The sequence below is a fragment of the Homo sapiens genome, chromosome 1 (genome assembly GCF_000001405.40).
Source record: "Homo sapiens chromosome 1, GRCh38.p14 Primary Assembly".
NCBI lineage: Eukaryota > Metazoa > Chordata > Mammalia > Primates > Hominidae > Homo > Homo sapiens.
The window spans coordinates 81,308,595-81,331,201 of NC_000001.11; the positions used below are offsets into that span (position 1 = coordinate 81,308,595).

The 22,607-nt window shown below is 36.4% G+C and overlaps 1 protein-coding gene across 8 annotated transcripts in view, besides 2 other annotated features; it reads left to right on the forward strand.

Annotated features, from left to right (window-relative positions):
* Nucleotides 1-22,607, forward strand: part of ADGRL2 (adhesion G protein-coupled receptor L2) — a 687,801-nt gene that overhangs the window by 2,463 nt on the left and 662,731 nt on the right. For 5 of the 8 annotated variants that reach the window (XM_047416152.1, XM_047416118.1, XM_047416159.1 and 2 more), the window contains exon 2: nucleotides 18,123-18,181. The exons of the other annotated variants lie outside the window; for them this stretch is intronic. The gene's annotated coding sequence lies outside the window, so the exon portion shown is untranslated. The remainder of the gene's footprint in view (nucleotides 1-18,122; nucleotides 18,182-22,607) is intronic. 8 annotated transcript variants of the gene reach the window in all.
* Nucleotides 3,362-3,863: an enhancer, noted in NCBI's record as "OCT4-NANOG-H3K27ac hESC enhancer chr1:81777641-81778142 (GRCh37/hg19 assembly coordinates)". NCBI's record gives its function as "activates a minimal SCP1, AML or CMV promoter by ChIP-STARR-seq in naive H9 embryonic stem cells {active_cell/tissue: H9 hESC(naive)}" and the evidence as "EXISTENCE:reporter gene assay evidence [ECO:0000049][PMID:30033119]".
* Nucleotides 3,864-4,363: an enhancer, noted in NCBI's record as "OCT4-NANOG-H3K27ac hESC enhancer chr1:81778143-81778642 (GRCh37/hg19 assembly coordinates)". NCBI's record gives its function as "activates a minimal SCP1, AML or CMV promoter by ChIP-STARR-seq in naive H9 embryonic stem cells {active_cell/tissue: H9 hESC(naive)}" and the evidence as "EXISTENCE:reporter gene assay evidence [ECO:0000049][PMID:30033119]".

A 22,607-nucleotide genomic window follows, 5' to 3' on the forward strand; every position in this document is an offset into this window, starting at 1 on the left:
TGAGACATTCTCTTTTCAACCAAATTACCAGGGTTTGACAGGTATAAAGGCACTCCCCATGGAATGTCACACCATCATTTCACAGAGACTTATTTCAAAAGCACATATTTTATAGACTTTCGCATTTGTTTGCAAACCTCTGAGAAAACTCTCCAAAGACCTAACTTGTATGCCTTAAGTTAGGTTTTACAACTATGCATCCAAAATAAAATGGTCACAGCCTTCAACTCCCTTGGGTTTCTTTTGCCTCATCTGTAAACTTGCCATTCCTCTAGTAACTCATTCAAGCAACTGTTCAAGACAAGTTACATTTTACTCCATTTTAGTGTGCCTTGCAGCAGAATCTATAGAACTGGTAAACTTTATGGCTATATATAATACCATGTTGTTATTCCCACCTGGCTCTTTGCTGCTGCTTTTACTGAGTACAGTTAAAAAGATAAATTATCATCTTAAAAGGATGCTATGGAAGGTGTTAATAAGTTTTATCTAACTTCAGGAGTGTTCACTGGGGCTGTAGAAACTTGCGACCCTGCTTAAGGGGAAATGATGTGCGTCATCAGCAGACATTCACTGCCTATATCTTCTGTAAATATTTCAAATTTCAAGAAGGATTCTGTAATACCGTATATATTTCCTAAATCATGGAAGTTATTGCTGCATATGGATTGATTATGATATTGAGTGAAAACCCAATGGATTTTGCTTTATAGGTAATAACTTAAATTTGTACACCACCACTATGGGGTCAGTGAAACCATCATCCCCATTTCAAAGATAAAGAGAGGTACAGAGAGGTTTAAGTAACTTAGCCAAGGCCACACAGTTGGGACAGAACTGGGATGTGAACCCATTTATTCTGTTCCTGGCTTTGAAAACTCACACAATAATGCCTTCCTAATTATCTCTGATGACTAGTAGTAGGGACATTCCACCCCCCACAAATAGCAAAAGTGCTCCGATTTACCCATTTGTCATCTGGATTCAAATATCTGATTCTGATTTTCCAACTCTTTTCAAAGTTCTTCATCTCAATCTGTATTATCATTATCACACAGGTTTTAGAAGTTGTTTCATTTAACGTATGTCAGGAATGGTTACTCTTACAGAACATTTGTCTTTTACCTCAAGGAGTTAAGAACTAAATCAGATCTGTAATTGACTGACTTGTCTACTGACAGCCTTTGAAGAGCCACCACTCCCCACCTTGTTTTTCTGTCTAAAGAGCAAGATTGACATCTCTTTATATGTTTAAAATTTGTCAGTGGTGTAAAGTGCTCAGTAATGATGGAAATTAACCTGAGGCTTTATCTAACTACCTTTCCTAGCAACTCCATTGAAGTTCTGATAACAATTAAAATTTTGATGCAAACAACTGTTCACATCAGAAAAAATACTTTTTTCTGTCTTGTCATACCTTTCTTCAAAATATTCTGGGTAGTAGTGGCTCTTTTCCTTACCTTTCACTGCACTGGATGCATCTGAATGAAAATTTCCCCAGCCAAAATACACCAGCACATTAGAAAAGCAGATAAAGAAAAGAAATGAAGTAGCAATGCATGTTTAAACGGTCTGACGGTGAAACATTGAATATAATTATCTGTTCTTGTGTCAGTAATTGTTATCTCCTTAAGGAGAACTGAGTAAGAACAGGTCTATACAGGGCAGCATTTGTGGCCTTATTTCTGTCTATTTGGGATAGCCTTTGAATTGTCTCCCACTTTCTTTCCTCCCAATGTGAAAAGATGAACTATTACGCATGTAACTCATAGGTATCTGATTCAAAGACTGTGTTTATTTGACCTGTGGATATCAGATATCTAATATAAACAAAAACCCAAACATCATCAACACATAATCAAGTGGCAGAAGTTTGCAGAACATGGGTCAGTAGCAATTGAGCAAGCTACACATTTCTCAAGTAACAAATGAAAAACAATTTTGATTGTATTCTGTGATACCAGCATTCTTTTTAGATCTTTGAAGTATCAGGCAGATGGACTGCCCTGTATATCCACAACCTCTATCTGCTGGCAGGCAGAAAGCCCAAGAACCTATCTTTAAAGTTATTTTAATATATCAGTTTTGCCCAGATTAGCCAAGTTAGATGTCGACCATTGGTATGGGAAAGGTTGGGAATTAATTTAAATTTGAGCTAACCCTGCCATCATCTCTTGCTGAGTGAGTCCCTTAGCCTGTGAGACATTCTTTTCAGATTTGATTTCTCTGTTACTTGGTTGTTCTCTCCTTGAAAGAAAAAAAAAAAAAAAGGGAGGAGTGGTGAGAAGAGAACAGAGGATGGTGATTTTGAGTCTGTGTTGATAGAAACATTCAATGGAGTTAAAACTGACCTACAACCATTTGAAGAACGTGTCCCTCATTACTAAATTCTTTGGCTGTAATACTGAGCTCCCTATCTAAAAAGATGTCAATTTCCTGAAATTAAATATAAAACCAAGGGATTTTTCTCACTGAGGAAGGTGTGCAAAAATATTTAAACAACTTAACTCTGAAATGTATTAGCAATCAGTTTAGACTGGACAGTTAACATATACAAGCTCAAAACTAAAACTTCATTAGATAAGACGTACATTTTGGTAAGCAAAACTTCATTAGATAAGATGTACCAGGATTAGAAAGTCTGTTTGTTACTGTTGTTGTTGTTTTATGATTGTTGTTATACATAGTTCCTTCTATCTTCTCCCGGAAAAATTAATCAAGTGCCCTTTCTGTAATTGAGACCTCTTTTCTGTCTATTCTCAATGCCTGCAGTTTATATCACACAAGTCAGCCTCTAATTACGTTCTTTTTTCATATTTCCCAGGTTGTTTCATGGGTCATATTCTTGTATTCCCAGTAGTTTGTAAACTACTTGAGGGTGAAAATCATATTTAATCTGTGTCCTTCACAGTCCTAGCCTCAGCACTAAGACTAAAGCCTACTCTTGATTAATATTTGAATGGTTGATTGAATTTTGTAAAAATCGAGTTAGCTTATGTTATATATTTTTTAAAATTTGTTTCAGGAGGAAACAAATTTGAGAGGAACATCTATCCATCCAACACATTTCTTAAGACTTAGCTATATTCCAAATACTGAGCCTACGCTCTCTGACAGCATATTAAAATTTACACATGCTTAATTTTAAAAATTGCAACAAGAAAGGAAATTATTCCAATGGATAAAAAATATATACTATGATTTCTCTTTTTGGAAGTTAAAAGGAGAGGCAACTGGTAAAAGAACCAAGGTGAAAAGTTAAGAAAAGAAGGAGACTGAAAGACAAAGAGTAAAATACAGAAATATAGAAGACAGTGGGGGAATGGGGAAGAGATGAGGAGAGGAGGGTTTAGGAGATTTTAAACAATTCAGACTTTGGCATTTTTTAGTAACTTCAGTTTTCAGCTTTTAAACCTCTGTCACTAAATCTTCAGACACTATAAATGAAATGGAAATAATAATTAATCTTAAAGGAAATTATTCTTTGTCCTGAAACTTTGGCTCTCCAGGAATGAATACGTTAAGAGGAGTTAGGGTCCTAAGCAACGATGGAAGCAAAGAGAATGTAAGGTGGCTTTTAAGGCAAACTATGGAATAGTCAATCCAATAAGAAATCTACAGAAAGAGTTTACAACCATAAATCAGGTTCTAAAAGGAATTTTGCAAATCCAGTTTTACCCGGGCGGACGCCATCACCCAACCAATGTGGAGGTAGAGCCTGTCAGAGAAGTGGGTTTCAGGGCAGCTTCCAAGTTACAATGATCGCCAGCCAGCATGCTCCTGGAACAATGAGACGTGGACCTCAGGAGGCAGTGCTGGCAGGAGCAAAACAGAAAAAGGAGTTTGGGGTTCACAAACGTGGATAGAAAGCAGAACTTTCTTTCCCCTTCTGGGTGCCAGGGCCCAGGGGAAAGGTCCCAGTTCCTCCAAATATTCGGGGTAGGTAAAGGAACTAAACATATGGATTTTCTACCCATTGAGGTACTCTAACCACATGCTAGAGGCATTTTGTTTCTCAGCTCTTAGTCATTTCATTTTTTCAGCCTTTAGCCATTGAGATGTTAAGAGTATTTGTGAAATCCTTTTGATTAGCAAGTGAAAAGCCATTGTATACTGGCTTCTGGGGTGTTATCGGATTCAGAGAGGGATGGAGCAGTTTACAGGTGACTGTGGATATGTATTTCTAATTGATGAGAGGGATGTAGGACCTTGGTTTAAAGTTCTGCATTCTTCACTGGAAAACAAAAACCAAAGACATTTAAAAATCATGTAAACTGAATTTACAGAGAAAACATAATGAAACAGAAAGAGTACTAGTTTCAGACAGACAGACCTAAGTTGGAATACAATATACGGAGAGTATTATTGAATCTCTCTGAGCTTCAGCTTCCTTAAATGGAAAAAATACCCATTTCTCAGCTTTATAGTAAAGAAATAAAATAATGTCTGCTACATGCCCAAAACAATACTAAGTTCACTGAAGACATTTGAAGTACCTCTCTATCCTCATTTTGTTTTCTGTTCAAAATCAAATTTATAGTACCCTGGATCCCACTCACAGACATAAGTATTTAAATGTTTCATGACTTCATTTTATTTTGTAGCTAAGAAAAGAAAAGAGATTTATGGGACATCAAAGCGCTGATCCTAACCTGTTACTAACAAAGTGAGGCTTAAAATTCTTAGGTCTTCTCACAGTCAGTGAGCAGACCACAGGTGTAAATTAGCATATCCTTAAAGAAAGATGCTTCCTATGCTGGGGGTCACATTTATAATGTTGATTTAAATTAACATTTTCACCCAATTCTGCTTCTCAGGTCTTGATTTAATATCCTTAAGGCCTGATGCCTATGGACCAGCACGTGTTAATTTCTACGGCTCTTAAAATGGCATGCCTGTCTGCTCTTAGCCACTCGGGTGATAGGTGCTAATTCAGAGCTTGCTGAATTTCCTTCTGAAAGTGGTATCTGTGCAGGCCACTATGAGTTTCCAGTACCAAAGTTCGAAAGGCAGATTGCAAACTTTTGAAAGAGTTGACTATGGATCAGACAAATATAAAATTCATTCTAAGAGGACTCTCCTTCTTAGCTTTTTCTGTGTGAGAGGAGAGCACAGAGCACATGTCAGAAGAAAAGAAGCATCAGGACATGAAAAAATCAAGAGGGTATTTCACAGCTTGTAGGATTTTTCTGATTTCTTTGGAAACTATGTAAATGAATTCCTTAAACACAGACTGCCATTGATTTTTTTCTGGTGTTCATTGATTCCCTCATCATTGCTTCATGTATGTGTTCTCCCAAAACATCTAGTATTGATATTTCTCTCCTTCATACTCTGTCCCCAATCCATTATAAGTATATCATTCAAACCTGTTTAATTTCCTATGAAAGATGATATTAAGTGCACTGTTAGTGTAATTACGTCGATAGTGAAAGATAAACATGTATTAGGCAGTGCAAAATGCTGATTATCTGTCAGGGTAAATCTGTTTATTTCAGATATAGCAATCTGACAACCCCCTGGTGTTAATCATGAAAGTACATGCTTGTGCCAGGTACTGTTTGGTGCGGTTCTGACAGTGAAATGCACTCAATGGCTTACTGCTGTGACGTAATCTTCATCATATATAAACCCATATACATGTGTATCTATGTCATAAAGTGCAGACTGTGGATTATGTGTTTTAAGCATGTGTGATGTACTTATATTTCGGTATTTTTGTGTGTGTATGGAAGACAAAGTATAATTTGAGAAGCAACAATGTCCAGTTTGCATTAACAGCACTGTGTAAAATGGAATGGCTTGAGAAAGGAGAGAGTGGATTATAGGATTAGGCCGCATTTTAGTTTGTACCCAGAGCAGGGTTTGCCCTCAGTAATATCAGCTCAGAACCATTTGTATTAATCCACAGAAAAAAAGAAAGAGCCAGTAGAAAAAAGGAGAATCAGGAGGTAGGTCTGGAACAGGATATTCATCCAATTCTCAACACAAACATGCTTCCTTTATTCTTTAACTTTTTTCCTTGAGATAGTAGTTTCTAAATATATCCTAGAAACACTACTGACTGCCAGATGCTATTGGACATAAAGTTCCTCTTTAATGAGATAAAATAGTGTCAGGAAGTCAACATGTTACACATGCTGTGGCAGAATTTCACCAGGCTTTTGTGCAGCAGAAAATGAATAGAAATGACAATGAATTGAATATTCAGGCACAGTTTGCCAACTCCTCTGAAAAATAATCTTGTCTGACTTTATAACATTGTGATCATTTCCTGAATGCCATAAAATGCTGAGTAAAATAATAAAAATTGATACATATATTGACATTTCAGTTTTCTAAATAGAAGCTGAGAAAATATAAACAGCATTTGGTCTTTGCAACTCTTCCAACCAACCATTTGTATGCTGACTAATTCACTTACACTCAGATACCTCATTCAGCCTTAATATAAATGTCTTCTGAAATAATTTCTCACCAGTAGATTATGCACATCTTTAGTTTGATTCAGAATTTACATGTGTAGTTTGCATAATTTTGCATCAGAGTGTCTGCTTTAAATTACGTAAAGGTCACTGTCATTCATAATCAAAAAAGAAGGTGCATTAAAGGTCACAATTCGATAAAAAAATTGATTAGAGGTAGAGATTTGTTCATGTGATACAATATCATTGGATAAGTGGAAATATGAGTCAACAAATTAACCTCAGTATAAGGGGTGACCTGATTCTTTGCCATAAAAAAAAAATCACATCCAGATTGCTTTTTTCCCAATGTTTAACTTGTTTTACTCTATGTAGCAGTGACAGTTACTTCAGTTAATACCTCTTACCACTGGGGGTCTTTTATAATGTCATTTGGTTTAGAAATGACATAATGACAATTTTATCTCCAAAATAAAATAGTAAATTATAATGAATTAATAATAGACAGATATGGATTAGAAAGTCCCTCAGGGCTTATGGTTACTTCTACCATTTTTCCCCTGAGGTAGCTCCTAGTTCTTCCACTCTTTTTAAAAGATAGAGCTGTCACAGCACATTTCTTCTCTTACGTCACTATTTTCTACCTCTCACAGACACTAAGAGCCCATGCAAACCCTTTGGAATTTTGACATCTACTCAGTATTAGAATAGATAAGTTCAAAATAAATGTAGCTAGTGATCGGCAATTAGTTTTTTTTTTTGATTTGTTGAACTTTTTAAAATATGTCTGTCTGAAAGTAACTTGAATAAATGGAAAGCAATTGAAAATAAACAAATGCTAAGTTGCAGTATATATTTTGTCCATAAGTCAACTTGAATATCTGAAGGAAGATAATTGATACACATTTCACTTGGAAGTTTGGCATAAGTTCTGAGACATTGACATGAATACTTACTGTAACAGAACTCATATTTATTTCCTCATCTTATAATATTTTCCTTCTCATGTGTGCCCTTGACTTAAAGGGAAATCTTCCTTTCTTCCCTTAGCTGTTTGTCTACTCTATTTGTTGTATTGGCATCTTAGCATAGGATCATCTACCAAAAAAACAAAAAAAAAAAAGAAAAAAGAAGAAAGGTAGACAAGGAGACACCACCTTTTTAAAGTACATTGTTTATTTTTCAAAGAAAATCAAACACTTTTAAAGGAACCATAAAGGTTAAATGGTTTAAGCAGATTATAATTAGTTAATTTTGTTAAACCTATACTGGATCAATTTTACATTATTTTAATTACCTTTTGGAATAAATGGTTTGGTGAACAAATTCACTTGATGTTCAGGATCAAACAAAATTACCTTTCCTCTGGGTAGGCTTAAGTTTCACAAAATTATTTGAAAATGACCTCCTTTGCTTTCATCTAAAAATATCTTTGGATTTAGAAAATGATTAAAGTTGGATATATTGTGTTTTAGGCCAATCATATTTTATCATTTTCATAGCTTATTCTTTCTTTAAAGAGGAAAATAATGAAACTTCACTAAACAGATGTTCCCCCTTTAAGGAGACTCTTGGAATTTATACACTAACATGGTATACGCAAGGTTGATTCAACTCCTATTTCTGACAGAAGGCATGTATTATATTCTGGAAAGTTTATAAAATTTTTTGCTGACAAGATATAGAAATGAAAGCTGGATGATCATTAAATATTATAGCCAAATCAGAGACATTCTGATTTATGTCTTTGCTGTGTATGTATGTATGTGTATGTACCTATACTCATGCCTAGAAAGAAGCAATCTCTGAATTGTAAACATCCAGATCCCAGGTAGTTAGAGGATACATTAAAAAGCATATATGACTATCTCTCATCCACCCCGATTTAGGGCATCTAGGGAGCAATGTTGGGAAAGCGCAAATGGAATTTGACCTTTCTTTGTCAATGAAAAGTTAGGAAGTTATCCTAGTGTCCAATGCTATCTGTCTGTCTTTTTCTTTACAACAGTGATTCTCAACTAGGGATGATTTTGCTTCCCTGGTGACATTTGGTAATTTTGAGAGGCATTTTTGATTTGGGTTGGGGGTGGGAGGTACTGGTACTATGGGCATCTAGTGGGGTAGAAGCTACATATGCTGCCAAACATTCTAGAATACATAACACAACCCCCACAACAATGACTAATTCTTCCCAAAATGTCAGTAGTACCAAGGATAAAAACCCTTTCTTGTAGCTCAGAAGGAGGTATTTCTTCACTCTGTCTCAACTCTGTTGTATCTCTCTCCCCAACCCTCAACCCCACATAATCCCATACTGCATCTGGCTCACTGCTTTTCATCCCTCAGAACTCTCCAGGCACTCATCACTTCATTCAGGAAAGTGCCACTGACTGGTCTGATTGCGATGGCATTCCTTGGTGTTACCATCCCACTGTATCCCTCTGAGCTCTGTTGACTGACTTTTCTATATCCCATTCTAGACTATAAATGTTTTGAGAGTTGTATGTTGTATCACTAACATCTGCATAGTTTGTGGAACATAGTAACTCCTCTGTTAAGATTTGTTGTTGAATAAAGTCAAGTTTGTCTCTAGAAACAGTATAGTAAAGAGTGTTAGGGTTTATCTTAAATTATACTTAAAATACTATCTCAGGAATTGAGGGATAAATAAGTAAATCATAGTTGCTGGACTGAAAATATAACTGTTCTTAAAATTTTTTGAAACAATCATTTGTAAGTAGGGGGTCTGTCTGCATATTTATTTATGTCTATATAGCTGAATATGTTTCAAAACATAATTATATGTCTATGAAACATGTTATTTCAAAACATAATTATATGTTTATGAAACATGGCATGATTGTGTGTATATAGATGTGTGTGTGTACATATGCACATAGTTTCAATAGGTATACATTTTAATGATGACATTCCGTGATTGTATCATAAATGCATACACATAACCAAATAAAGCATCTTTATGTTTACATCATTAAATTTTTCAAGCTCTGACTTTATATTTAATATACCAAATATTATATTTGCAATAAAATAGAAAACATACTCTCCACCTTTAAAGAACATAGACATTACACCTTTAATAAAATCACTGTCATTTCTGTTTCATGCTTTCCTGATTTCTGTATTTTATGTTATGAATATGGTCAATAACAGTATCAAATTATAAAAATACACCTGTACAGCTGAATAAGTAAATAGTTTAGTTTATTGATTGATATTAGTCAGTGAAGCCAAGATTACATTTTACATCAATTGTTACACTTCTAAGAGTAATATTTATAACTCTGCATTTTGATAATATTACTCCCCTTTGTTATTCCATAAAAAGGAAGTGAAGTCTAAAGTCAGGCTGTGCCATTTAGAAGCTGTGAGACCTTAAACAAGTTATTTAATTCCCTAAGCCTCATGTTTATCTGTAAAATGGGGGCAATACTGACATCTACTAATAGCAATCTTACATGGTTGTATCATAGACAAATGAAATGATATTTTAAAAGAATTCAGCCTATAGGCACATAAAGTAGTTGAATAAATGGTGACTATTACTAATACACTACTAGTTGCAAAAGTAACCATGATAGTAATAATAGCAGTTATGGGACGGCATGAATCCAGGGTTTCTTTAGTAATCTGGAAAATATACCTAATAATATTTCTATAACTTAAAATTAAATTTATTTTGGAAAAATGTTTTATAAAAAGAGATCCTGTTTTATGTTTTTTTCTTACTGGAGTCATAAAATTCAGCATTGCTGATGCTTAAGAGCAAACTCACCTCTCTTAATGACTCCTTTCTTCAACTACTTTAATCATCTCTGTCTTCTTTTTTCTACTTTCATTTTTTCATTGCATGTAATAGTCATTTTATCCTCCATCCTCCATCAATTCTTTTTTTTTTTTTTTTTTTTTTTTTTTTTTGAGATGGAGTTTCACTCTTGTTGCCCAGGCTGGAGTGCAATGGAGCGATCCCAGCTCACCGCAACCTCCACCTCCCAGGTTCAAGCGATTCTCCTGCCTCAGCCTCCCGAGTAGCTGGGATTACAGGCATGCACCACCACCCCGGCTAATTTTGTATTTTTTTTTTTTAGTAGAGACGGGGTTTCTCCATGTTGGTCAGGCTGGTCTTGAACTCCCGACCTCAAGTGATCCACCTGCCTCGGCCTCCCAAAGTGCTGGGATTACAGGCGTGAGCCACCGCGCCCAGCTTTATCCTCCATCAATTCTATGGTGATGCTCACTTGTTTGTTTGAAAGAATTTTAAAGCAAATTCCAGATTTATACTTCTTTAATATATCCAACAACATTTTTCCTACTATTCCATGTCCTGCTGTGGCACAACAAAGCAACATAATCTTAAATACAAACCGAGATTTTTTTTCAACAGGGTGCATCATAGATAAGAAAGGCTGTGAAATATGCAGATTTCTCATCAAACTAAGAGAATTCCCTACCTTTCTCTCCCAGTGATCCCAATAGGCCAATGGGTCAAACCTGTCTTTGAGAACAGCATTTCTACAAAGCTGCTCAGAGAGGCGGGGCTCAACAAATGTTTTCTGAATGGAACTGGAATTATGAATGTTTCTAGTGAATGGTTCTATAAAGGCTAAAATAATTGTAAGTCAAATTATCATGAGTTTGTATTGCATTCATTAATTTCACTTCTTAGAACAAGGCAATAATCGTAGAGGAAAATAAGACCCATGGACCATATTGTCTTCTAAGCCCTCTAGGTCAGTCATCTGAGCTTTCTGCAGTCATAATCTTTTTGCTGGTGCAGGGTCTTGCCTCGATGTTGGTGGCTGCTGACTTATCAGGATGGTAGTTGCTGAAGGTTGCAGTGGCTGTTGCAATTTCTTAAAATAAGACAACAATGAAGTTTGTTGCATTGATTGACTTTTCCTTTCATGCAAGATTTCTATCACACAATGTTGTGTGATAGCATTTTACCTGTAGAATTTCTTTCAAAATTGGAGTCAATCCTCTCAAACCCTGCTGCTGCTTTATCAAGTAAGCTTACATAATATTCCAAATCCTTTGTTGTCATTTCAACAATGTCCACAGCATCTTCACCAAGAATAGTTTCCATCTCAAGAAACCAATTTCTTTGCTCATCCATAAGAAGTAACTTCTCATCCATTCAAGTTTTGTCATGAGTCTGTAGCAATTCAGTGACATCTTCAGGCTCCAGTTAGTTCAATTTGATAGTTCCACCACATCTAAAGTTACTTTCTCCACTGAAGTCTTGAACCCCTCAAAGTCATCTATGACAGTAGAAGTAAACTTCTTCCAAACTCCTGTTAATGTTGCCATTTTGACTTCTCCTGTGAATCATGAATGTCTTAATGGCATCTAGAATGGTGAATCCTTGCCAAAAGGTTTTCAAATTAATTTGCTCAGACTCCCTCAGAAGAATCTCTATCTATGGCAGCCATAGCCTTATTAAATGTACTTCTTAGATCATAAGACTTGAAGGTCAAAATTCCTCCTTGATTTATAGGCTGAAGAATGGATGTTGTGTTAGCAGACAGAAAAACAACATTCATTTCTTTGTGCATCTTCATCAGAGCTCTCAGCTGACCAGGTACATTGTAATGATAGTAATATTTTGTAAGAAAGCTTCTTTTCTGAGCAGTGGGTCTTCATAATGGGCTTAAAATATTCAGTAAACCATGCTGTAAGCAGACATGCTGTCATCCAGGCTTTGTCATTTCATTTATAGGGCACAGACAGAGTAGATTTAGCATAATTCTCGAGTAGATTTAGCATAATTCTTAAGGGCCCTAATGTTTTCAGAGTGGTAAATGAGCATTGGCTTCAACTTAAAGTCATCAGTTGCTTTAGCCTCTAACAAAGTCATCCTGTTCTCTGAAGCTTTGAAGCCAAGCATCGACTTCTCCTCTCTAGCTAGTTAAGTCCTAGATGGCATCTGTTTCCAATATAAGGCTGTTTTGAATACATTGAATATCTTTTTAGCATAGCCACCTTCATCAACTAACTTAGCCAGATCTTCTGGGTAACTTACTGTAGCTTCTACATCAGCACTTGCTTCACCTTGCAGTTTTATGTTATGGAGATGGCTTCTTTCTATAAACCTCATAAGCCAACCTCTGATAGTTTCAAACTTTTCTTCTGAAGCTTTATAAAATTGAAGAGAGTTAAGGCCTTGCTATGGATTAGGTTTTAGTTTACTTAGGGCAATTTGGAGGCTGTTTTGGTCTTCTATCCCGACGACTAAAACTATATCAGCAATAAACCTATTTTGCTTTCTTACCATTCATGTGCTCACAAGAGTAGCAGTTTTAATTTCCTTCAAAAACATTTCCTTTGCATTCCCAAGTTGGCTAACTGGTGCAAGAGGCCTATGGCTCAACATGTCTGAGCTTTTAACATGCCTTTCTCACTAAGCTTCATCATTTCTAGCTTTTGATTTAAAGTTAGAGGCAACCCTTCCTTTCACGTAGAGGCCATTGTATGGTTATTAATTGGCTTAATTTCAATATTGTTGTGACTTAGAAAATAAGGAGGCCTGGTTGAGGGCAGAGGGAGAGAGACCAGTGGATGAGCAACTGGAGAATACCCTGTCAATAGAGCAGTCGGAACCCACACATTTATCAATTAAATTCACGGTCTTACATGGATGTGGCTCATGGTGTTCCTGAAGAACTATAATAGTCACATCAAAGATCACTGATCACAGATCATTGTCACAGATATAATAAAAATGAAAAAGCGTGAAATATTGTGAGAATTACCAAAATGTGACACAAAGATATGAAGTGATTACATGCTGTTGAAAAAAAAAAATGATGCCAATAGACTTGCTGGACCAAAGTTTGCCACAAACCTTCAGTTTGTAAAAAAACACAGTAGCTGCAAAGCGCAATAAAATGAGGCATGTGTACATTATTTAGACCACCACTCTTACTAACATTTTTAAAAGCAAATGCTAAAATTTAAAAAACAAGTTTATTTAAATACATATTCTTTATATATTTTTTGCCATACTATTTTTTTCAATGTTCTTCCTTAAATGTACAGGACTAATTCATATATATATATATATATATATACACATATATATATACACACACACACGTACATATATATACATATACATACACACATATGTACATGTATATACATATACATATACATATATATATACGCACACACTGTATAAACAAAAATATGTGATTCTTTGACCCTACCTGGGGGGTGAAATACAAATTTCTGCCTTTGGCCCTTGCTTTTTGTACATTGAATGTGATCAAAGTAAATATGGTTAGCCAAATTACACATGAAACAAACCTTAAAAAGATACCATATACGATACTTAGGAATAAAGGTAACAGGACGTGATAAGTGCGTAATGATGTATATCAGTTAAAAACATGAAATATACAATTTTAAATGAGGTTTTCTAGCAAGGAACTTTAGTTAGGGAGAAAAAAGATTTATGGTCTTCAATTAATCATAAGTTTAATATGCACCAGTGGTGATAGGACTGCTAAAAAAGAATACCACCACCTTAGGCTAGATTAATAGACATTGTAAAAAGGACAGTGGAAAGAATGATCTCATTACATTCTCCTATTATTAGATCACATCTGGCATATTATAATTAGTTCTATACATTTAAGGGAAAACATTGAAAAACACGGTATATCAAAAATATGGGGCCAAGCTGAAGAAAGTTTTAAAAACCATGTCATACGGGGAACAGTAAAATAACCAAGTGGTTGACCTAGAAAAAAGAAGACTAAGGGGAGATACCATAAACAATGGATATGGATCACTATGGATATCTTTCTTTTGATGTTTTTTGTTTGTTTGTTGAGACACGGCCTCACTCTGTTGCCCAGGCTGGAGTGCAGTGGGGTGATCTCAGCTCACTGCAACCTCCCACTCTTTGGTTCAAGCAATTTTCCTGCCTCAGCCCCCTGAATAGTTGGGACTACATGTGTGTGCCACCACACCCAGCTAATTTTTGTATTTTTAGTAGAGACGGGGTTTCGCTATGTTGCCCAGGCTGGTCTGAAACTCCTGATCTCAAGTGATCTACCCAACTTGGCCTCCCAAAATGCTGGGATTACAGGTGTGAGCCACCGTGCCCGGCCTATAAACATATATTAATTGCCATTTTGGCAAGCACTGTGCTTATGTATAACATAAACACAGAAAATAGAAAAGAAAATTTTTCTGTTTTTTTTGTTTTATTTGAGGCAAAGTCTTGCTCTGTCACCCAGGCTGGAGTGTGGTGGTATAATCAAGGTTCATCAGCCAAAATCTCCTGGGCTCATGCAACCCTCCCACCTTAGACCCCAGAGTAACTGAGACCATAGGTACGAGCCATTGTACTAGACTAATTCAATTTTTTTTTTTTTTTTTTTTTGTAGAGAATAGGGTCTCACTATGTTACCCAGGCTGGTCTTGAACTCCTGGACTCAAACAATCCTCCTACCTCAGACTCCCAAAATGCTGGGGTTATAGGCATGAGCCACTACACCCAGCCAAGAAATTGGTGTTTTATCATTTTGTAAATGGACTTTATATTCAAGAGGAGAAGATAGACTTTAAATAATCACACAAAGAAACCTTTGATAACAAATAGTGATAAAGAGGAAAAGCTACAATGAAAAAATAAATAAGCTGATCAGATTTAATTGGAATAGAGCATATAGTCAAGGAAGGCTTCTTTGAAGAAGTGATATTTAAATCAAATTAATAAAGATGGATATGGGGAGAGTGGTCATTCCAAGCAATGAGAATAGCATATGCAAACCTCATAATTAAGAGACCCTTAAAGTAGAAAAGAGCTTGGTAAAATTGAGGACAAAGAAGAGGACAGAAAAGAGGAGCATCGCAAAGAATCAAGAGAGAATGTTGTGAGAAGAAAATGAGGCCGGATTGTTGTAGCTCTTTGAAGCTACGTTCAGGCTAGGCTACTATTGAAAGTGCCAGGAGAAGCTCCCGAAGAATTTAAGCAGAGTGAGGCAGGAAGATTCCCTTTTGCAAAGATACCTCTGGTTTTGTCTGGCTAATGTATTGGAAGGAGGCAAGTGGTAGTGTGAGAGCCCTTTAAGAGGCTATTGTAGTGGGAAAGACAGAGATGAAGGTCATTAGGCTTCAAGCGGAGGAGATGGAGACTGAATGAGAAAGAGAGATTAAAAATATTTTTTAGGGCTGGACACAGTAGCTCACACCTGCAATTCCAGCATTTTGGGAGGCCAAGGCAGGGAAATCACTTGAGCCCAGGAGTTCAAGAGCAGCCCAGGCAATATGGCAAAACCCTGTCTCTACAAAAAAAAAAATACAAAAATCAGCTGGGCATGGTGGCATGTGCCTGTAGTCCCAGCTATTCGGAAAGCTGAGGCAGGAGGATGGTTTGAGCCCGAGAAGTCGAGGCTGAAGTGAGCCATGATTGCGCTACTGAACTCTAGCCTGAGTGACAGAATGAGACCCTGTCTCAAAAAAAAAAAAATCTATCTATATAATATTTTTAAAATTATATATTAAAAAGTTATATATAAATTATATATGTTAAAAATTATATATACACACACACACTTTGGAAGTAGTATCAAGAGAATTTGATGATGGATTGGAAAAGAAAGTAATATGTCAAGCAAGACCCACTTTTTCTGGTCTGAGTAACCTCCCTGAGCTAAGGGGGAGGTGAGGAAACTTTTTTTTTGAGGCAGAGTGTTTTCCTGTCACTTAAGTTAGAAAGCAGTGTCTCAATCTCGGCTCACTGCAACCTCTGCCTCCCAGGTTCAAGCGATTCCCCTGCTTCAGTCTCCCAGGTAGCTGGGATTGCAGGCGCCCACCACCACACCCAGCTAATTTTTGTACTTTTAGTAGAGACGGGGTTTTACAGTGTTGGCTAGGCTGGTCTCGAACTCCTGGCCTCAGGTGATCCACCCACCCCGACCTCCCAAAGTGCTGGGATTACAGTCATGAGCCACCAGGCCCAGCCGGAAACTTTAAACCAGAGGTTTAAAAGCCTTGTTTTGGCCATAGTACATTTGAGAAACCAGATAGACTATTTTTATATTATTTGAGTGAATATTTAGTAAATTGTCCACTAGAAGAGACCAGAATTGCTTTGTGTTCTGTAGAAGAGCAGATCCACAGCCACAAATGTCAAGTTTACACAGAGGTGCACTTCAACCCAGTCCACGAAAGAACTGTTTTTAAAAAACTAGACTGTCCAGAAACCTGCCTTAGAAGAGGGTAAGTTTCCCCTCACAGTACCTCTTCTGGCAGAGTCAGAAGTCTACCCGACCTGTATTTAAAAGATGTCTGCACTGTGTGTAACACTGAACTGGAGTCTTTTTCAACACTATTGTGTTGAATTTCAGCTATAAAGTTTTAAGACATTGAGAAAACAAAGAAGATTCTCTCGTAGGTCACTGCAGGTGTTTGGTAAGTCATTTAATTGTTGATTGCTACTGGGCAAGTCCCTCACACCTTTCTACCAGAAGGGCAATTGATTGCATCAAGCAGCTATTGGCTATTTACCAAAACATGCACACTTTCTCTCCCAGGTAAATGAAGGTCAGCCAGCCCCACACCCAAATGAGTCACAGAGGTTAGAAGCCAAGAATTCTCTTCCAATATAACTCTAAACTTGCCTCATGCAAACGTCTTTAATTTGTAATGGTTTGCTTTCATGTTGTGCTTAAACTTAGCTTCAAGCATCCCTCTCAACCCAGCACTCCCAGACAATCAATACCCACAGACGTATAGTCATTTGAGATGATATTCAACTCAGTTGTCATCCCTGCTCAACCCCAAGGCTCACAGTACTGAAGGGCTCTACCCCCAATAACTCCATGGAGGATGAGAAATGGTGATGATTTATTCTAGGCCCAGAGACCCAGAGGATCTCACTAAGCATTCATACCACTTGCCAGCCAGAGCAATGATTATTTTTTTCCCATTGGTAGTGCTTCAATTTTTCCAAAAAAACAATTCTTTAGAAATTTAGGAAGATTCTTTAGTGTGGACTATATAAATATATACAGGTGGAAAGTTTAAGTTTGTCATATCTTGATGTGTGATTACATATGGAGAGTGGGAGAAAGAATCAGCCACACAACTAAGCATCCCATGATAGATACTGTGCTTAATCTGAGCCAGAGATTTGAGGCAAAGCTTCTCAGTCCTCTGGAAATAAAGAAAGCTTTTATTTTCTTTTCCATAGACTTTAGTCTTCAGTAATAATTGTGTGCTTTGTGATTGTAGCTCAGGAATAGTACCTATCACATTAGAGTTCAATTTTAATATATCTAGAGCTCTTTAATAAGACCGTCTGTTAAGACTAGGGCAGTGACTGATTAATAAGTTGGTTCAAGTAGACTTTCATTCAGGTCTCAGTAATAAGTGCTCTGTCTAGTTGATAAATTTCCACACTAAACACAAACGTTGTTATTTGTCATATACTAACTGTTTTAATGGACCATTCTTCATGATCTTTAACAACCATCAATTGATCTCTAGGACTCCAGTGTCACACGGCAATCCAGCTATGTTCAAAGAATCTAAGTTTAAGTGAACTACATACAAAAGAAGAAAAAAACACATTAATTTGCTCTAGGGACAGAAATATATAAAGCACATTAATGAAGATGTGAACAACAAGAAGTGACTCAGGGCTGTTATTTTTCTCCACAGCAGAAATACTGTAATCAATCCAGACAGTTATATCTTCAGTTCCTCAGGTTTTAATAAAGGTAAGTCTAAGAATTCTATTTAGACTTTCAGACCATTACATCCTGAACCGTCAGAAATAATCAGATATGTTTTAAATCAGCTAGGAGATAAACTGATCGATTTCATCCTTGTAAAACATAAACTCTAGAGGTAGCTTAATTTTCACATTCATCATTTGTGATTATTTTTCCAGTTCCTCTTTGCTTTAAAAACTACATCAAACTCGGATTTCCCTGCAGCGGACTGGCAGGCCTAAGCCACTTAATACAAATAAAGCCCAAAATGCTTAGAAATGAAATGAGTTGTTTTTTAAAGAGGTTCAGGACATACACTTATGTCCTAAGAGTACAAAAGGATATGCCTCCTTCTTTATCTGAGAGTCTCCGGTGGCAACATTAGCACATCGATGTTTTATGCATTTCATACATAATGCTCCATGTGATTATCAAATCCAGACTGCAGAGCGGAATTAAGTTTGCTGAGAATGGAATGGGACGGGAGGAAGGACATGTGCTATTGAGAGAAATCATCCCATTCCTTTATCTTCTAGGAGATCTGCGGAAGCCTTTCCTTTGGAAAGTGCTCAAAGACAGATCAAATGTGATAATAAAGGTTCACTATCTGAACAGGTCTGCCCTAGAAATAGTGCTTTGGAAATTCGAGGTGGAAAGAAAGGCAGTCTGTGCCAGAAACTGATTAAATTTCAGTCATCTATCCAAAGCAGTCCCTGGTTGCTTGTAAAATGCTCCATATAATTACAGTAACTATGGGTTTTAAAGGAATTTACACATTAGCCTTTATCATGGGACTTTCTTTGTGGGTGCATTTCTACTTTAAAATCAATATCCCTAAAATAAACTTTAATAAGGTTTATTAATTTTATCTATGTGGACCTTTAAAAAGTCAATATCAAATATCTTTCTTCAGATTCTTCTTGGCATTTGAAGAAGCTTAGATATAATCAAATGTCATGCCCTCTGTATGTTAAATGATCATTGTTCTATGACTTTGCTCTTGTATACAACTTAGCCCTCTTTTAAACTTTGGAAGAGTTGTGAATCAATACTAAATACCGTTTAAAACGTATAGGTCATCCTGATACATGATCTCAGTACCGTGGACAAGGCCCATTAGTTGCTTCTTGAGCTATTATCTTGCTCTGCGTTAGATTTGAATAACCCACAGAAGTCATTTGACAGCCCCCAGCTGACCCTGCACCATGGTGGCTAAAATCACTTCTTTGAAACAACCTGCAGGCCTTTGAAACAACCTCAGGGAACAAAAAACAAAAAGGCTTTTAGAAAGTAGTGTCCCAGAGAAGAACACGACTACACTGCCTTTCATTCAAAGTGCCATAAGGAGCATTGACAGGATACCACAAATTTCAAACCTTTTTCCTTTCAGAAGAGACTGAGTGCCAACATTTCTTTACAGTAAGCTTCAAAAGGGAAGAATTTCTACCAACTACATACTCAGTGGTTTGTTGGTATGTGGCTATAATCTTAATCCAGAGAACAGTAAATTTATAATTTTCATTGGAGGGAAGAATTTTGAGGAAACCATAGTTTAAGATCTTCCTTGACACCAGAAGAGTTCCATCAGTAAATCATACAGGAAACATCGAATTGTGCTACCCACTAAAAATAAAACCTGTTTTAATGTCAGACATTTGTAAAAGTAAAGGTCAAGCCAACCCCCATCCCTAAAATATAAGCCTCAGTACTAGGTTAGAAGCTTATTGATTAGGTCTCTTTTTTCTGTCTCTACCCTACCCCAGTAATAGTATCTTGGAAAACTTATTATAAAGTGAATTCATAATATTGAAACAGAACTTTACTGGGAGTCATACCTTAAAAAGATAATTTTATTAGCTGAGATAAACAGTGCATCTTTCCACTCAGATAAAGAAGACTGTAGAGAACGTTCAGATACTTTAACATAGTTAGCTATGTTAAAGTACCCTGTGGTAAGGATCACCTCAATTCCAGTATCTTTATCCACCTAGTGCAACAAATAAGCTAGCTCTAGCCACCCCACTCTTCCTCCTACACACAGAAAAATGCTATTTGACACACAATTGAATCAAAACATCAAAGGGCACAGAAGCGCTTAATTATCATTTTATAGTCTGCCCTTTAACTGGACTGTTTAAGAGAGATTTTCATTTCCTTTGTTATTAGCCAGTAAAGGATATTTTACATGATCTACAAAAAAAAAAAAATCTATCAACTTATTTAGGATAGAGTTTAGCTGCTTTTAGTGCAAAACCCAATTAACAGTAGTAACTTAATTCAATTAGTGGATTCTTCCCTGATGCAGAAGAAGTCGAGTTTTCACGATTATAAGCCATCCATGTTCCCACTGTCTAACTGCTCTGCCACTCTGCATGCATAGCCTCTATTTTTTGTGAGTGCTTGCAAGATAGCACTAAAGCTCCAGTCATTATGTTCACTTTTCCAAACAATAGGAAGGGCAAGGGAGTAAGGGCCTGTGGAGTCATCATACTGCATTCTTCTCAGAACACCCCACCCCCAACCCCACCAACCAATCCAAAGGCTCATCTTTATGTCTCATTATCCACCCCTATTTTGAAAGGAGGCTGAGAGACAGTTTTGTAGACAGACATATTGCTGTTTCTGACAATATAGGAAAGCTGCTACACAGGAAGAGGAGAAGAATAAATATTAGGTGAACAATTAATAGTCTCTGCTCCACAATCTAAACTTACTCCTTAATATGCTTCTGAGGTGTCTCATTTTGCAGACCTGTGACCTAAAATCTAATGAAAATATTTCTCTAAAAGCTAAACGGGTATTCTGTTAGCTAAGATCTTTTAGCTTCATATGTCTGCCTGAGCAGCATCATACTTTAGAAAAGAAAGCTCTAAATATAAAGTACAATTTTAAAATAATTTGATTATATCAAAACTGCCCAAACCACCAACTGTTTTTTAGATGCCAATTTATTTTTCACTTGTGAAACTTTGAGATGATAGGCATCTAAGGTTTCAGCAACTGTTATTTCCAAAGCTTAAAAGAATCAGAGAGGAAAATTGCTGGTTTCACACTATAAAATGTCCCTATTCTGCCTCAACTGAAACATTATCGTTACCAGTACATTAATATATTGCTCTAGAAATTGCAATCTTTATAGATTAATTTTCTGACAGCTCTGCTGGTATAGATTTACTTCTTTTGCTTTGCACATTTCTGATGATCAGATTTTAATTTGAGTAAAGGTGAAATAGAAAGAAAACTGTTATTTTGATTAAATTGCATTTAAGTAAATGGCAGTATTTTCGGTCATCCAAGAGGCTTTTTCATTTCTAGCTGGTATTTGCCATATGCTAATAAACTAGAACATCACAAGATTAATGTCTATTAAAATATGAGTTTTCCTCACCATGGTTAGCATCTCATCATCATGATGAGGATGACCAAAAGTACCTGAAATATGTTGATGTTTTATAGAAAAATGGGGTCAGAAGATAATCTCAAATACTGACCCAATGAGGATTAATTCAAACAGATTTCTAAAACTGTCACATGTCACTGAATGAAACACATGTGATACACTGCCTGGCCCATGACATCTGCAGGTCATATCTGATTAAAGAAAAGCAAGGTCACACATTTCTATATCAACATGTATGCACACTTCCTTGGGGAATGTTCTACTGCTGGGGAACATACAGAGAACAAAACTTTAATTTCTCTAACTACAATCCAAAAATATCTAATGTATCTTACTTGATCAGAGTCAAAGTATGCTTCAGGGGCTACTTATCTGGAGAATTTGTATGTCCTTGGGTCAGGAATTATTCTTTTAAACTGGAATATCTTTATAATTCAGCCAAACTAATGGATCTTTCCTATTATACCATGGCATTATCATCTAGGTACACAAAAGCTGTTAACACATGGCATACTTAATCACCATTACTACAAGCTGCCAACAGATGCATCAGTCAACAAATCTATTCTAATTGTGTCCTGGAAAGAAGTGTTTCACACCTTTGGAGGTTGACATCTGCACCAGGCAGAAGTGCAAAAAAGTGTTTAAGGTCCACATTTATGGATACCTGATAGGTGCATTTGAGAAAATATGAACGTTGCTCAACGGATGTTTTAAAGAACACAGAACACATGTTAATAACTATGACTGTTAACATTTTAAAGTTTAACAACAGATTAATTTGGCTGATAAGTACATATGTGACTGAATCATAAATTTCACAAGTGCTGGAACCATGTCTTAAACATATTTGCATGCCCCATAGTGCCTGGCACAGTGCCTGGTAAATTGAATGCTCTCAATAAATATTTGATGATAATGAGTATTTTATTTTACATCTACATCAAACCAAAACATCAAGCTGATGGAAAGGGAATTTTTCACTTCTAGATTCCTTTACTCCCTTATACTCATACCGTGTGTAATTGCTTT